Source organism: Homo sapiens, chromosome 19 (genome assembly GCF_000001405.40).
Source record: "Homo sapiens chromosome 19, GRCh38.p14 Primary Assembly".
In the NCBI taxonomy this organism is placed as follows: Eukaryota; Metazoa; Chordata; class Mammalia; order Primates; family Hominidae; genus Homo; species Homo sapiens.
This window is the reverse complement of record NC_000019.10, coordinates 3412234-3429769: the sequence shown is the minus strand read 5'-3', so window position 1 is coordinate 3429769 and position 17536 is coordinate 3412234. Positions and strand designations below refer to the sequence as shown.

General features: G+C 52.0%; 1 protein-coding gene across 5 annotated transcripts in view; it reads right to left on the bottom strand.

Moving 5' to 3' along the window:
- The window catches only part of NFIC (nuclear factor I C), a 109588-nt gene that overhangs the window by 39448 nt on the left and 52604 nt on the right, over positions 1-17536 (bottom strand). For all 5 annotated transcript variants that reach the window (NM_205843.3, NM_001245005.2, NM_001245002.2 and 2 more), the window contains exon 3: positions 4593-4664. In NM_205843.3, coding sequence (NP_995315.1) covers positions 4593-4664 — 72 coding nt within the window. The remainder of the gene's footprint in view (positions 1-4592; positions 4665-17536) is intronic.

The window sequence follows — 17536 nt, the reverse complement described above, 5'->3', positions numbered from 1 at the left end:
AGAGCCAGGGAGCCTGGTAGGTTTGGAGGTGGGACAGGCTCTTGGCTTTTGGGTGGCGGTGGGAGCAGTTCCTCTCCCGGCCCCCAGGGGGCAGCACGGACTGCAGGGAGCTCAGGGCTGTGTCCAGTTCTGCAGACCCAAACCCCCGCCAGTCCCCCTGTTACAATCTTTCTTTTTTAGAGACAGAATTTTGCTCTGTTGCCCAGGCTCGAGTGCAGCGGTGCAATCATAGCTCACTGCAGCCTCGAACTCCTGGGCTGAAGTGATGCTCCTGCCTCAGCCTCCCAAGTAGCTGGGACTACAGGCACGCATCACCACCCTTGGCTAATTTTTGTATTATTATTATTACTTTTTGTAGAGATAGGGTCTTGCTATGTTACCCAGGCTGGTCTCAAACTCCTGGGCTCAGGCGATCCTCCCACCTCAGCCTCCCAAGTAGCTGGGATTACAGGCATGCACCTCCGTGTTTGGCTAGTGTGTGTGTGTGTGTGTGTGTGTGTGTGTGTGTGTGTGTGTATATATTTTTTTTTTTTTTTTTGGGGTAGAGATAGGGTCTTGCTATATTACCCAGGCTGGTCTTGAACTCCTGGGGCTAGTGTGTGTGTGTGTGTGTGTGTGTGTGTGTGTGTGTGTATATTTTTTTTTTGGGTAGAGATAGGGTCTTGCTATATTACCCAGGCTGGTCTTGAACTCCTGGGCTCAAGCGATCCTCCCGCTTCAGCCTCCCAAAGTGCTGGGATTGCAGGCGTGAGCCACCGCACCCGGCCCCCTGTTACAGTCATTTGCTGAGTGAAGGCAATGAACCAACCCTGCCCCGCGCTGGGAGGTTCAGGGCCACGCATTCTGAAGAGGACAGAGCGGTGGCCCCCGAGTGTCCAGGAGAAGTGGCCAGAGCCGTTTCCTGCTGACCCAGCTGGCCAGCTGGTGTCAGCACGCCCCCTCCGCCTCCCCCGACCGGGGTTTCCTGTTTGTGCAGCGCCTGCTCAGCTCCATCTCTGGGGGACTCCCTGGCGAGCTGGGAGGACGTGATTTCCTCTACCAGACGCCCAAGCTCCCCAGGGGACCAGGCCAAGCGCCGCTGCCCCCACCTCCCTCCAACATCTGGCTTGGAGAGAGGCGTCTGGGGATCACAGGAGGCCGCGGAGGACCCGGGTCACAGACGGAGGAGTCACCGGGGGCCAGTGAGGAGTGGCCTCAGGCCTGTGAACCTCCGAGAACCTTCCAGCCTCCCTGTGCATGCCTGTTCCGGTCCTTCCAAGAAGGACGCCTCACCCACTCGCTTTCTCTTCCTTCCTTCTTTTCCTTTCCTTTTTTTTTTTTGAGACAGTCTCACTCTATCCCCCAGGCTGGAGTGCAGTGGCGTGATCTCGGCTCACTGCAACCTCCGCCTCCTCCTGGGTTCAAGCAATTCTCCTGCGTCAGCCTCCCGTGTCCTCCTAGTACAGATGGGGTTTCGCCATGTTGGCCAGGCTGGTCTTGAACTCCTGACCTCAGGTCATCCACCTGACTCGGCCTCCCAAAGTACTGGGATTACAGGTGTAAGCCACTGCGCCCTGGCCCCTTCCTTCTTTTTCTTTTCTTTTCTTTTTTTTTTTTTTGAGACGGAGTTTTTACTCTTGTTGCCCAGGCTAGAGTGCAATGGCGCGATCTCAGCTCACTGCAACCTCTGTCTCCCGGGTTCAAGCAATTCTCCTGCCTCAGCCTCTCGGGTAGCTGGGATTACAGGCATGTGCCTCCACGCCTGGCTAATTTTTGTATATTCAGTAGAGACAGGGTTTCTCCATGTTGATCAGGCTAGTCTCAAACTCCTGACCTCAGGTGATCCACCCACCTCAGTCCCCCAAAGTGCTGGGATTACAGGCGTAAGCCCCCGCACCCGGCCCTTCTTTTTCTCTCTCTCTTTCTTTTCTTTCTTTCTTTCCTTCTTTCTTCTTCTTCTTTTTTTTTTTTTTTTTTGACAGAGTCTCGCTGTGTCGCCCAGGGTGCACAATCTCGGCTCACCACAACCTCTGCCTCCTGGGTTCAAGCGATTCTCCTGCCTCAGCCTCCCGACTAGCTGGGATTATAGGTGTGTGCCAACATGCCCGACTAATTTTTGTATTTTTAGTAGAGACGGTTTCACCATGTTGGTCAGGCTGGTCTCGAACTCCTGACCTCAGGTGATCCACCTGCCTTGGCCTCCCAAAGTGCTGGGATTACAGGCGTGAGCCACCGCACTTGGCCCCTTCCTTCTTTTTCATCTCTCCTCCTTCCTCTCCCCATATATCCTCTCTTGTCTTCTTCTCTCTGCTTCATCCCTCCCTCTCTCCTTCTTTTCTTTCTACAAGTATTTATTGAGCACCCACTCTGCATCAGGCCCCATTCTAAGCCCTGAGGGCACAACAGAGATGTAGACAGACAAAGCCTCTGCCCTGGAGGAGGTGACATTCCACTGGGGAGATGAGCAGACACCCGTGCAGTCACTAAACAACTAAGCAAATCCATAGGCAATCACTAACTTCCTCTGAAGGAAAGAAAACAGAGGGCTGAGACTGAGGGTAGCCAGGCTGGGCGCGGTGGCTCATGCCTGTAATCCCAGCACTTTGGGAGGCCGAGGCGGGTGCATCACAGGGTCAGGAGATCGAGACCATCCTGGCTACCACGGTGAAACCCCATCTCTACTAAAAGTACAAAAAATTACCCGGGTGTGGTGGTGGGCGCCTGTAGTCCCAGCTACTCGGGAGGCTGAGGCAGGAGAATGGCGTGAACCTAGGAGGCGGGGATGGCAGTGAGCCGAGATTGCGCCATTGCACTCTAGCCTGGGCGACAGAGCCTGACTCTGTCTCAAAAAAAAAAAAAAAAAAAGATTGAGGGTAGCCAGAGGCTGCTTATGCTGAAGGGGTTTAGGGTAGACCTCTCTGAGAAGGGGGCATTTGAGCTGAGACCAGGGGAGATCTGGAGAGAACAAGCGAGCAGTTAGTTGGCTGTTTAGACAGAGGTAACAGAATGTGCAGCGGCCCTGAGGCAGGACTGGGTCTGGTGCACTGGAGGAACGGCGAGGAGGTCTGTGTGGCTGGGAGTGGACGACGGGGAGAGAGGGAGGAGGGGAGGACAGGGCAGGGATGGGACAGGTTGTGCAGGGCCTTGTGGGCCACAGGGAGGACCTGGGCTTTTACCCCAAGAGAGGTGGGAGCCGTGGATGGCTGTGCGCAGAGGAGGGACGGGCCCTGACTTGGGGGCTCACAGGTGTCCTCTGGCCATAGTGAGAAGGACAAATGGTGGGGGCCAAGGGCAGGAGCTGGGGGCTAGGATGGAAGTGACTGCTCTGGTCTAAGTGAGGTTAATTTTCCCACTTCCTATCCCTACAACATAGAATTACACTGTCCTACCCATCTATTAGACGCCCCATGAGGGCTGGGTGTGGTGGCTCACACCTATGATCCCAGCGCTTTGGGAAGCCAAGACAGGAGGATCACTTGAGCTCAGGAGTTTGAGACCAGTCTGAGCAACATAGTGAGACTCTGTCTCTACAAAAATATTTAAAAAATTAAAAAAAAAAGCCAGGCGCGGTGGCTCATGCCTGTAATCCCAGTACTTCGGGAGGCCGAGGTGGGTGGATCACGAGGTCAGGAGTTTGAGACCAGCCTGGCCAACATGGTGAAACCCCATCTCTACTAAAAATACAAAAATTAGCCAGCCGTGGTGGCACACACCTGTAATCCCAGCTACTCAGGAGGCTGAGGCAGGAGAGTTGCTTGAACCCAGGAGATGGAGGATGCAGTGAGCCGAGATCGCGCCACTGCACTCTAGCCTGGGCGACAGAGTGATACTCCATCTCAAAAAAAAAAAAAAAAAAAAAAAAAAAAAAAAAAGCCAGGCATGGTGGTGCACACCTGTAGTCCCAGCTACTTGAGAGGCTAAGGCAGGAGGATCGCTTGAGCCTAGCTGGTCCAGGCTGCAGTGAGCTAGGATGGTGTCACTGCACTCCAGCCTGGGCAGCAGCGTGAGACCGTTTCTAAGACAAACAAACAGGCCGGGCACGGTGGCTCATGCCTGTAATCCCAGCACTTTGGGAGGCCGAGGTAGGCGGATCACCTGAGGTCAGGAGTTCAAGACCGACCTGGCCAACATGGTGAAACCCCGTCTCTACTAAAAATACAAAAATTAGCCGGGTGTGGTGGCAGGTACCTGTAATCCCAGCTACTTGGGAGACTGAGGCAGGAGAATCACTTGAACCCGGGAAGCGGAGCTTGCAGTGAGCTGAGATTGTGCCACTGCACTCCAGCCTGGATGACAGAGCGAGACTCCATCTCAAAATAAATAAATGAATGAAAACAAAACAAAACAAACAAAAACCCTCAAACGTCCCATGGGACCGTAGAACCCTCTGGGGTCTCCCATGGGGTGAGCACCTCAGAGCCCAGAAGCTGGGAGCTCAGAGTCGTGGGTTCCAACCCAGCTCCCTGGTAGCCCCTGGACAGGCCCCTTAACCTCTCCGAGCCTCAGTCTGCTCATCTGTAAAACGAGTGGTGCCAAGCAAATGATTCCCAAATAAAAGACGAGGACAGGGCTGCGCCCTCCGCCCTTCACCGCCACGCTGCCCCCAGACTCACCCAGCGTGATGGGCTTGCTGTCCTCCTGGTCAGAGCCCATCCCTGTCCGGGGACTGCCGCTTTGCTCTGCATCTGCAAAGAGAGGGAAGAAACACTGGTGGCATCACAGAGACCCCACCCCAGGAGCAGATGAAGTGTCGATGCTGGTGGCCCCAGTCCTGGGCTGGGCCAGTGCTATGGAGACAAACAGTGGCCCCAAAACACACCCAGGCCCTGGGGTCTCTCTTTGGGCCCTTCCCTTGGCTGCTGCCCTAGAGGGTCACAGACATCTGGCCAGGCACCCTGCAGACACCAGCTAGGCCCTGTGAGCGCCAGTGTACCCGTATGTTGGGTAAGCCCTCCGCTTCTGCAGGGGCGGCTCAGTCGTGGGTAAGAACTTAGACACCTGGAATCTTAACAGACTGATGTTCAAATCCCAGCTGTGCCGCTTTCTTGCTGTGCGACCCTGAGCAAGTCGCTTGCCTTCTCTGAGCCTCATCTGTAAAATGAAGTTCAGGCCGGGCACGGTGGCTCACGCCTGTAATCCTAGCACTTTGGGAGGCCAAGGGAGGCAGATCACCTGAGGTCAGGGTCAGGAGTTTGAGACCAGACTGGCCAACATGGTGAAACCCCATCTCTACTAAAAGTACAAAAACTAGCCAGGTGTGGTGATGCGTACCTGTAATCCCAGCTACTTGGGAGACTGAGACAGGAGAATCGCTTTAGCCTCGGAGGCGGAGGTTGCAGTGAGCCAGGATTGCACCACTGCAGTCCAGTCTGGGCGACTGGAGTTGGAGGCCAGCCTGAGCAACATAGCAAGTCCCCATCTCAGAAAATGAAATTAAGCAACAACAAAAAAATAAAACAAAACGGCCAGGCACGGTGGCTCACACCTGTAATCCCAGCACTTTGGGAGGCCAAGGCAGGAAAATCACTTGAGGTCAGGAGTTGAAGACCAGCCTGGCTAACATGGCAAAACCCCGTCTCTACTAAAAATATAAAAATTAGCCGGGCATGGTGGCACGCTCCTGGAATCCCAGCTACTCAGGAGGCTGAGTCAGGAGAATCGCTTGAACCCGGGAGGCAGAGGTTGCAGCAAGTGGAGATCATGCCTCTGCACTCCAGTCTGGGCGACAAGAGCAAGGCTCCGTCTCAAAATAAATAAAATAAAATAAATAAAACAAAATAAATAAAATAAAATGAGGTTCAGTCATTCAGCCCCGCCTTAGCCCTATGCAGGAGGTCTATCACTATGTCCGTTTTACAGATGGGGAAACTGAGGACCAGAGAGGTGAGTCCTGGAGACGTCACGTCCCTTAGCCTCAGCCTCTGCCCCTGTAGTCCCAGGGACCCGGCTGTTAGTCCTGGGTTGCCGTTCAGGGACCCCAGAGAGAGGAGGCTGAGGGGTGGTCTCTCTGATGGCGACGACCCCACTGCCCGCCCAGCTTGGGTGCTCCCTCTGCCCCGGCGCCCGCCCCTCCATCTTATCTAAAAATAATTAGGTTCCTTGGCAGACGCGCAGGCAGACAGACGCTGAGCTCAGCGTTATCGGCTCTGGCAGCCTGGATGCAGGACGAGTCACATCCGCCCCCTCTGGAGCCCTGACCCCTCCACGGAGGGCTGAAGTTGGGGGGCAGGTGGACAAGCCCAGCCAGGCAGACGCCCCTCCCCAGCCCCACCCATGGATCACCCAGGTCAAAGACGAAGGTGGCAGCAACCAACGTCGAAAGCCGCAGGAAGAGAATCACGCCCCTCCTGCCCACCCGCCAGACCCCAAGGCCAGGACGCGATCGCTGTGTGACCTCAGGCAAGTCGCCTAACTGTCCTGAGCCTGTTTCTCATCTTCCACGTGGGCACAAACACTGCCCAGGCCTTAGCAGAGCTGGGAGGCAGTGAGGAGAGGATACTCCTGAAGCACTTGAGGGCATTTGGAGACCTCAATCACGAGAGTCCGCCCCATTATTACTTTCTTCTATTTTATTTATTTATTTTTATTTTTTTGAGACAGGGTCTCACTCTGTCTCCCAGGCTGGAATGCAGTGGTGCGATCGCGGCTTGCTGTAACCTCCACCTCTCGGGTTCAAGTGATTCTCCCGCTTCAGCCTCCAGAGTAGCTGAGATTACAGGCGCGCGTCATCACGCCTGGCTAATTTTTGTATTTTTAGTAGAGACGGGAGTTTCACCATGTTGGTCAGGCTGGTCTCGAACTCCTGACCTCAGGTGATCCGCCCGCCTCGGCCTCCCAAAGTGCTGGGATGCCAAGCGTGAGCCACCATGCCTGGCTGTATCCATTTCATAAACAAGGAAAGCTGCGGGTCAGAACCACGAGCAATGTTCTCCCTCCCAGGCCCTGTGATGGGCTTTTTCACCAGGGTTATTTTATCTACAGTTTTGTGCTGGGATCAGACACCTGAGCCAAGTACTGTCTCCAAGACCCCCCGGGTCTTTGTGCTCCTGAGAAGGTCACTTTCCTTTTTTTTTTGAGACAGAGTCTCGCTCTGTCGCCCAGGCTGGAGTGCAGTGGCATGATCTCGGCTCACTGCAAGCTCCGTCTCCTGGGTTCACGCCATTCTCCTGCCTCAGTCTCCTGAGTAGCTGGGACTACAGGCACCCGCCACCACGCCCGGCTAATTTTTTGAATTTTTAATAGAGACGGGGTTTCACCGTGTTAGCCAGGATGGTCTCGATCTCCTGACCTGGTGATCCGCCCGCCTCGGCCTCCCAAAGTGCTGGGATTACAGGCGTGAGCCACCGCGCCCGGCCTCACTTTCCTTTCAAGGCCTGAGTTTCTTCATCCGCAAAATGAGATGATGATTAAGCCAGGGGCAGTGGCACAGTGGCTCACGCCTGTAATCTCAGCACTTTGGGAGGCCGAAGCGGGAGGATCGCTTGAGGCCAGGAGTTCGAGACCAGCCAGGGCAACATAGTGAGACCCCGTTTTTACAAAAAATACAAAAAAACAGTCCAGGTGCAGTGGCTCACTCCTGTAATCCCAGCACTTTGGGAGGCCGAGGCGGGCAGATCACTTTGAGCTCAGGAGTTTGAGACCAGCCTGATCAACATGGTGAAACCCCATCTCTACCAAAAATACAAAATTAGCCGGGCATGGTGGTGCATGCCTGTAATCCCAGCTACTCGGGAGGCTGAGGCAGGAGAATCGCTCGAACCCCGGAGGCGGAGGTTGCGGTGAGCCAAGATCGCGCCATTATTGCACTCCAGCCTGGGCAACAAGAGCAAAACTCCATCTCAACAAAAAAGAAAAAAAAATTAGCCAGGCATGGTAGCAGGCACCTGTAGTCCCAGCTACTCAGGAGGATCACTTGAGCCTGGGAGGTCAAGGGTGCAGTGAGCTGTGATCATGCCACTGCACTCCAGCCTGAGTGACAGAGCAAGACCTTGTTTTAAAAAAATAAATGGAGACCATTCTCAGGGTTGCTGTGAGAATGATCAAAGCAATGATATTTCCTAGCGCACGGAGCCTCTGGAGTTAGCCTGGCGCCGTGCTAATGGCTATGCACACACCGTGTGTCCAGCACCCACTGATTGCCAAGACCAAGGATGCCATGAACAGCACAGGAGCAGGGCCCGGTGCCTCAGTTTCCTCGTCAGGAAACAGAGGAGCAGACGAGAGAAGCCCTTCCTCCAGCTAGGCTGCCCCGGCCGTGGCCATCTGGGCTGGACAGCAGCCGAGGGGAGTGTGCCCAGCTCGGCCCCAAGCCCTGCAGCCGATCCCAGGCTGGGGCTGCCAGCGGCCCCTCGGAGCTGGCCAGTTCCCTTTGGACTGTCTCAAGGCTGGGCACCGGTGGCCATGACGTTGGGAAGGACCCAGCCTGGGCAGCCGGCCGTCCGGGCGCCAGGCCGTGGGCACAGGACCCTCTTCCGGAACCAGAGCCCACACAGACTCAGCAGGCTGCAGTGCCCAGCTGGCGTCTCAGCAGGCCGCAGTGCCCAGCTGGCATCCGGGTGTTTCCCTGGGAAGGGAGAATGTTTCTTGGGCACCTACTAAGTGTCAGGCCCCACGGTGGCTCCCAGCATGAGCTTGCGAATCGGGCAGCCAGGGAGCGGGGCCTCGGATGCATCCGCGCCTCACTCTTCTCATCTGTGAAATGGACACAACTATAGCACCCCCTCTTGGAAGCTGTTTATGAGGGACAAGATGGTAATGAATGAAACATTGGCTGGGCGCGGTGGCTCACGCCTGTATTCCCAGCACTATGGGAGGCCAACGTGGGTGGATCACCTAAGGTCAGGAGTTCAAGACCATTCTGCCCCACATGGTGAAACCCCGTCTCCACTAAAAATACAAAAATTAGCTGGGCGTGGTGGTGGGCACCTGTAATCCCAGCTACTTGGGAGGCTGAGGCAGGAGAATCTCTTGAACTCGGGAGGCGGATTTTGCAGTGAGCCCAGATCGGGCCAATTGCACTCTAGTCTGGGCGACAGAGTGACTCCATCTCAAAAAAAAAAAGGTGATGAATGAATTATTAATAAAACTCCCAGAACCATGGCTGCCATAGTGAGTGCTTCACCAGGCAGAGGGCAGCTTCACTACTATTGCTATTTGATTAATATCGCTATTGGTACTGTCTTTGATGGTGTTATTTTGTATCTTTTATTTATTTATTTATTTATTTATTTATTTTTTTGAGATGGAATCTCGCTCTTGTTCTCTTGTTGCCAGGACTGGAGTGCGGTGGCACGATCCAGCTCATTGCAATCTCCGCCTCCCGGGCTCAAGCAATTCCCAGCCTCCCAAGTAGCTGGGATTACAGGCACGTGCCACCACGCCCACACGCCCAGCTAATTTTTGTTGTATTTTTAGTAGAGATAGGGTTTCACCATGATAGCCAGGCTGATCTCTTTCTCTTCTTCGTTTTTGAGACAGGATCTTGCTCTGTCACCTAGGCTGGAGTAAGGTGGCACAATCACGGCTCACTGCAGTCTTGAACTCCTGAGCTCAAGCCATCCTCCTATCTGAGCTTCCCAAGTAGCTGGGGCCCCAGGTACACGCCACCACATCTGGCTAATTTTTGTATTATTTGTAGATACGGGTTTTCGCGATGCTGCCCTAGCTGGTCTGGAACTCCTGGGCTCAAGCGATCCACTCTCTTTGGTCTCTCAAAGTGCTGGGATTACAGGTGTGAGCTACCACGTCCAGCCTCTTTTCTTGCCTTATTGGTCTGGCAGAACTTCCAGTACAATGTTCAATAGAAATGGGGAAAGTGGTGTCCTTGTCTTGTTCCTGATCTCGGGAGAAAACATCCAGCCTCTCACCACTAAGTACGGGGTTAGCTGTGGGGTTTTGTAGTTCCCTTTCTTGGGTTAAGGAAGTTTTCTTCTTTTCCTATAGTCCTAGGAATTTATGTGTTTTTTAATTAAATTAAATTTTTTTTTTTTTTTGGAACAGAGTATCGCTGTGTCGCCCAGGCTGGAGTGCAATGGTGCGATCTCAGCTCACTGCAGCCTCTGCCTCCCGGGTTCAAGTGATTCTCCTGCCTGAGCCTCCTAAGTAGCTGAGATTACAGGTGTGTGCCACCTGTAATCTAATTTTCTAATCTAATTTTAATTAGCCCAGCTAATTTTTGTATTTTTAGTAGAGATGGGGTTTCACCAAGTTGGCCAGGCTGGTCTCAAACTTCTGACCTCAAGTGATCCGCGTGCCTCAGCCTCCCAAAGTGCTGGGATTACAGGTGTGAGCCACTGTGCTCGGCCTAATTTTGTTTTTGAGACAGGGTCTTGCTCTGTCACCCAGGCTGCAGTGCAGTGGCACAATCATGGCTCACTGCAGCCTGGACCTCCTGGGCTCCAGCAATCCCCCCACCTCAGACTGTCGAGTAATTGGAACCATGGGTGAGCACCACCATGCCTGGCCAAAATTAGTTTAGTTTTAAAAATAATATGCTATAAATCTATGCCATCTCATTTTAATTTTTAATTTAATTTCTTATTGTGGTAAAATATGCATAATATTTACCATTTGAACCAACTTTCCATGCACAGCTTTAGGGACATTAAATACATTCCAATGGCCATGCAGCCATCGCCACCATCCTCTCCAGAACTTTCTACTCTTCCCAAACTGAAACTCTGTCCCCATGAAACACTCACTCCCCGTCCCCTCCCCAGCCTCCGACACCCCCTGACCCCGCCAACCTACTTTCTGTCTCTATGAATCTGACGACTCTAGGGACCTCCTAGGAGTGGACTTGCAGTATTTGTCCTTCTGTGTCCGGCTTTTCTCAATTGAGCTTAATGTCCTTAAGGTTCACCCATGTGAGTAGCCTGGTCAGAATCTCCTTCCTTTTTATTTGGCTGCCTCATCTTATGTATTTATGTATTTATTTATTTAGATGGAATCTTGCCGTGTTGCCCAGGCTGGAGTGCAGTGGCACAATCTCGGCTCACTGCAACTTCCGTCTCTTGGTTTCAACCAAATCTTCTGCCTCAGCCTCCTGAGTAGCTGGGACTACAGGCTCCTGCCACCACACCTGGCTAATTTTTGCATTTTTAGTAGAGACAGGATTTTGCCATGTTAGCCAGGCCGGTCTTGAATTCCTGACGTCAAGTGATCCTCCTGCCTCGGCCTCCCAAAGTGCTGGGATTACAGGTGTGAGCCACCACGCCCGGCCAGCCGTCTCATTTTAAATCATCTCTAAAACCTGGGAATAGTTCTCAACCACCTGCTGACCATTCTTCCATCATTTGGCTCCTGAAAACTCCTCACGTTCTACAGCCATCAGTACAAGGGTCACAGCCACATATGACTTTTTACATTTAAGTTAGCTACGCTGAAATAAAATTAGGCGGGGCGTGGTGGCACATGCCTGTAATCTCGGTACTTTGGAAAGCCAAGGCAGGAGGATCACTTGAGCCCAGGAGTTCCAGACCAGACTGGGCACCATGGCGAGACCCCGTCTCTACAAAAAATACAAAAGTTAGCTGGGTGTAGTGGCATGCCTGTAGTTCCAGCTACTCGGGGAGCTGAGGTGGGAGGACTGCTTAAGCCTGGGAGGTGGAGGTTGCAGTGAGTTATGATGGAGTCACCGCACTCCAGCTTGGGTGACAGAGCGAGACTATGTCTCAAAAAAAAAAAAAAAAAGAAAAGAAAATTAAATTTTAAGTTGCTCAGTTGAACAAATCACATTTCAAGCACCAAAGAGCCACACGTGGCTGGTGGTGACCAAGTTGGACAGCACAGAATATTCTGCCATCAGCGAGGAATATTCTAGTGCACTGTGTGGCCCTGGCTGCTTCCAGAGGTGGCCGGGCACGGTGGATCACGCCTGTAATCCCAGCACTCTGACAGGCCGAGGCGGGCGGATCATGAGGTCAGGAGATCGAGACCATCCTGGCTAACATGGTGAAACCCCATCTCTACTAAAAAAAAATACAAAAAAAAAAAAAAATTAGCCGGGCGTGGTGACGGGCGCCTGTAGTCCCAGCTACTCGGGAGGCTGAGGCAGGAGAATGGCGTGAACCCGGGAGGCAGAGGTTGCAGTGAGCCGAGATTGCGCCACTGCACTCCAGCCTGGGCGACAGAGCGAGACTCCATCTCAAAAAAAAAAAAAAAAAAAGAAAAGAAAAAGAGGCACAGATAATTCCTCCTCCTCCACCTACTTAGTACACACCCAGCCTTAAAATGGACCTTCTTTCGGTCTGAGCAGATGTGTACAAAGTGCATAATGTCGAAGGCTGGCTAACTTCCACAGCCCCAAGATTCCCCAGACCCCAGTGGGCAGCTTCCATCTGCTGAGTTTTTACTGTGCTGAATTAGCACTTCCTGACCCCATCTGATTAAATCTGCTCAATTTGTAAGGTTGGTCAACCAAGGCCCAGTGCGCACAGCGTATTTCCCAAAGCTGGTGTCAGATTCAAAGCAAAGTTGTCTGTCTAGCTCAGAAGTTCTGCTGTTGTTCTGCTTTGAGATGGGGGTCTCACTATATTGCCCAGGCCGGTCTCTAACTCCTGGGCTCAAGTGACCCTCCTGCCTAGGCCTCCAAAAGCACTGGGATTAGGCCAGGCGTGGTGGCACACGCCTGTAATCCCAGCACTTTGGGAGGCCAAGGCGGGCGGATCACGAGGTCAGGAGATCGAGACCATCCTGGCTAACATGGTGAAACCCCATCTCTACTAAAAATACAAAAAAAATTAGCTGGGCCTGGTGGCGGGCGCCTGTAGTCCCAGCTGCTCCGGAGGCTGAGGCAGGAGAATGGCGTGAACCCGGCAGGCGGAGCTTGCAGTGAGCCGAGATCGCGCCACTGCACTCCAGCCTGGGCGACGGAGCGAGACTCCATCTCAAAAAAAAAAAAAAAGCACTGGGATTACAGGCGTGAGCCACCATGTCTGGCCAGAATTTTGTGTTTTTAAAAAAATGTAGGATGGGCACGGTGGCTCACGCCTGTAATCCCAGTGCTTTGGGAGGCCGAGGCGGTGGATCACCTGAGGTCAGGAGTTCGAGAGCAGCCTGACCAACATGGAGAAACCCCGTCTCTACTAAAAATACAAAATTAGCCGGGCACGGTGGCACATGCCTGTAATCCCAGCTACTCAGGAGGCTGACGCAGGAAAATTGCTTCTTGAACCCGGGAGGCGGAGGTTGCAGTGAGCCGAGATCACGCCATTGCATTCTAGCCTGGGCAACAAGAGTGAAACTCTGTCTCAAAAATAATAATAATAATAATAATAATGTACAGACATATGTTGTTACAGTATAGAAAAAAACAAATATATTTGTATATTAAATATATATTTAATGGCGTAAGTATATTTTATATACCTATATGGCATATTTTATATACCTACAGGCCATATAGGTACATTTTATATACCTATCTATATGACATATAGTTATACTTTATATACCTATGTATAATATATATTATATATATTTGATGGCACAGGTACATTTTTAATATATATAGGTATATAAAATATACCTATGCTATTAAAATTTCACAGGAGAGTGATTAGGGAAAAAATGTTTAAAAGGGCTCTTTATGGGGGGGCAATCATGGTCTTGATTTTTTTTTTTTTTTTGAGACAGGGCCTCACTCTGTGGCCCGGGATGGAGGACAGTGGTGTCATCATAGCTCACTGCAGGCTCGACCTCCTGGGCTCAAGTGATTCTCTTGCCTTCTTTTCCCAAGTAGCCGGGGCTACAGGCTTGTGGCCCTACATCTGGCTAATTTTTAACAAACATTTTTTTGTAGAGATGAGGTCTCACTATGTTGGCCAGGCTGAACTCAAACTCCAGGGCTGAAGCGCTCCTCCTGCCTCAGCCATCCAAAGTGCTGGGATTACAGGTGTCAGTCACCTCGCCTGGCCAGGGAAGGCAATAATAGGGCAGAAAAAGGGGTGTTGAGTGGACAAGACCCTTCCACCCAACCCTATACTGGCACCAGGTATACAGTAGGTGCTCGACAAATGCACATCACTGAACAACTTCTCCCAGAGCCTCCATCAAAGATTGCTGTCTAGGGAGAGCATTTACGAAAAGGCAGCAGGGCTTCCTCGGCTCCAAACCCCTGTAATGAGGAGGCTTAAATAACAAGTTTGCAGGGGTTGGGGGGCTACAGGGGTGTAGCCTGGGAGGGAAGCAGATCTGGGTTCCCATCCTCCTCTGCTGCCCCTCTTGCTGTGTGGTCTCAGACAAACCCCTGCCCATCTCTGGGCTTCAGAGGCCAATGGGTGAAATGGGGCATGGGGTTGGGGGAGTGGAGGCAGACCTGACCTGTGTAGAACAAAATAGGATTGAGTCGAGAAAGAACCAAGCACTTGGCCGGGCGCAGTAGAGCTCACACCTGTAATCCTAGCACTCTGGGAGGCCGAGGCAGGAGGATTACTTGAGGTCAGGGGTTTGGGACCAGCCTGGACAATATGGTGAAACCCCATCTCTACTAAAAGTACCAAAAAAAAAAAATTAGCTGGGTGTGCTGGCATGCACCCATAGTCCTAGCTACTCAGGAGGCTGAGGCAGGAGAATTGTTTGAACCTGGCAGGTGGAGGCTGCAGTGAGCCGAGATCGTACCACTGCACTCCAGACTAAAGAACCAAGCACTTGGCAGGGCACGGTGGCTCACACCTGTAATCCTAGCACTTTGGGAGCCTGAGGCGGTTGGATCACATGAGATCAGCATTTCCAGACCAGCCTGGCCAACATGGAGAAACCCCGTCTCTACCAAAAATACAAAAATTAGCCGGGTGTGGCGGCAGGCACCTGTAATCCCAGCTACTTGGGAGGTTGAGGCAGGAGAATCGCTTGAACCCAGGAGGCAGAGGTTACAGTGAGCCGAGATCATGCCATTGCACTCCAGCCTGGGCCACAGAGCGAGCCTCTGTCTCAAAAAACACAAAAACAAAAAAACAAAAAACAAAAAAACAAAAAAACAAACTAAGCACTTTAGATCCCCAGCATCACAGAGTCGGGGTTTGCAGCATTTTAGATTCTCTGTGGAGGGTTTTGGAATCAGTTCGTGGGTTCTGACATTAGATGAGCAAACTAGAAGGGGTTGCCTATTCTTGCACAGTCAGCTAAGTATGGTCTTTTCCTTATTTTATTTTATTTTATTTTATTTTATTTTATTTTATTTTATTTTATTTTATTTTAGATGCAGTCTCGCCCCGTCTCCCAGACTGGAGTGCGGTGACGTGATCTCGGCTCACTGCAACCTCCACCTCCCGGGTTCAAGTGATTCTCCTGCCTCAGCCTCCAGAGTAGCTGGGACTACAGGCACGTGCCACCACGCCCAGCTAATTTTTGTATTTTTAGTAGAGACAGGGTTTTGCCATGTTGGTCAGGCTGGTCTCGAACTCTTGACCTCGTGATCCGTCCGCCTCGGACTCCCAAAGTGCTGGGATTACAATCGTGAGCCACCGCGCCCGGCCTGTCTTTTCCATTTTTAAAGGGTCGTAAACAAAAGAAAAAATAGGCAACAGAGACTGCATGTGACCTGCCTAAAAGCCTAAAATGTTTACAGTGTCACTGGCCCTTTACTAAAAGAGTTGGCGGGCTTCCGGCTGTGTGGCCCTGGGCAAGTACTTCCACATCTCTGAGCCTGGATTTCTTCATCTGTACATTGGAGCTGCACTATGTTGCCATTAGTTCTTTCCTTTGATCACTCAGCAAACAGATTGCAGAGAGCCACCCGGATGCCAGACGCCCAAGGGACACAGCGGCAACAGAGACAGACAAGAATCCCTCCTCTCGAGGCACTGATGTTCTAATGGGAACGTGACAGGAAATGAACAAGTCAGAAAATAAATCAAGAGGGTCACTTCAGGTCGTTGAAATGCTAGGGAGGTTGGGAGGCTGAGGTGGGAGGATCACCTGAGGCCTGGAGTTTGAGACCAGCCTGGCCAACATAGCGAAACCCTGTCTCTACTAAAAATACAAAAACTAGCCTGGCGTGGTGGTGCGTGCCTGTAATCCCAGCTGCTCCGGAGGCTGAGACGGGAGAATTGCTTGAACCCGGGGGATGGCTGCAGTGAGCCAAGATCGCGCCATTGTACTCCAGCCTGGGAGACAGAGCGAGACTCCATCTCAAAAAACAACAAATTAATGCGCAGTGAGTAATTCCTTTGACTAGGTTCGGCTGCAAATGTTGCCTCCATTGCCTCACAAATCTTTGTAACTCCTCTGCAGCAGACACGTGATTACCGTCCCCATATGGGGGACGGTAATCGCCAGCTGGGGAAACTGAGGCACAAAGCTAGACAGCAATGGCTTCAAACTCACAGAACACCAGCTGGTAGTGATGGGTCTAGAATCAATGATCAGCCACCCTGGCATCTCACAGTTGAGCCTTTGCTGTAATTTTGATTCTGTGACACCCTGTAAATCCTTTTAGGAGGGGTCTCGGTTCCCCTCACTCCAGGGCTCCTTCTCATTGGCGGTTTGGGATGATTCCTGGTGTTTGAATCCCATTCTCTAGCCAGTCAGATAAAGCCCCAAGGCCAGGCACGGTGACTCATGCCTGTAATTCCAGCACTTTAGGAGGCTGAGGTGAGTAGATCACCTGAGGTCGGGAGTTCAAGACCAGCCTGGCTAACACGGTGAAACCCCATCTCTACTAAAAATACAAAAATTAGCCGGGTGTGGTGGCACACACCTGTAATCCCAGCTACTCGGAAGGCTGAGGTAGGAGGATCATTTGAATCTGGAAGGCGGAGATTGCAGTGAGCCCCAGGCTGGGCCCTTCCAGCCCCTGTGTCCACTGTCAAAGGTCCCTTCTGCCATCCGTGTGGCTAACTGTGATACTGGGGACAGCTGGGACAGAACAAATCCTTCAAGGCTTCCTCCTCTGTTCTTTATTCCAGCAGAACCCCGGCCCCTCCCGCTCAGCCAGGCCAGAGAAATTTCAGAGCACCCCCACCTGGGGCCACTGAGGTGGGAGTCAGGGTGTGGAGTGACAGAATAGCATTGATAATAATTATAACGACATCTGCATGTACGGATGGTTTAATGAGCTCCAGATGTCAGGCTCTGTCCTAGGTATTGTTTAATGCCTTTTAACCATCCTTGGCTGGGGCTGACAATCTCCAGGATACCCAGAGAGGGTAAGCAAATTACCCAGCATCACACAGAGAGGGATGTGGATGCACCAACCCAGTTTTGTCTGCACCTCTCTTTAAAACGTATGAACAGGCTGGGCACAGTGGCTCACACCTGTAATCCCTGCATTTTGAGAGGATTGCCTTGGCAGGAGGATTGCTTGAGGTCAGGAGTTCAAGACCAGCCTGGTCAACATAAGGAGACACTCTCTCTAGCAAAAATAAAAATAAAAATAAATTAGCTGGGCATGGTGGCACATCCTGTAGTCGCAGCTACTTGGGAGGCTGAGGTGGGGATGGCTTGAATCCAGGAGTTTGAGTCTGCAGTGAGCTAAGATCACACCACTGCACTCCAGCCTGGGCAACAGAGCAAGACCCCATCTCTACAAAAATCTAAAAATTAGCCCAGCGTGGTG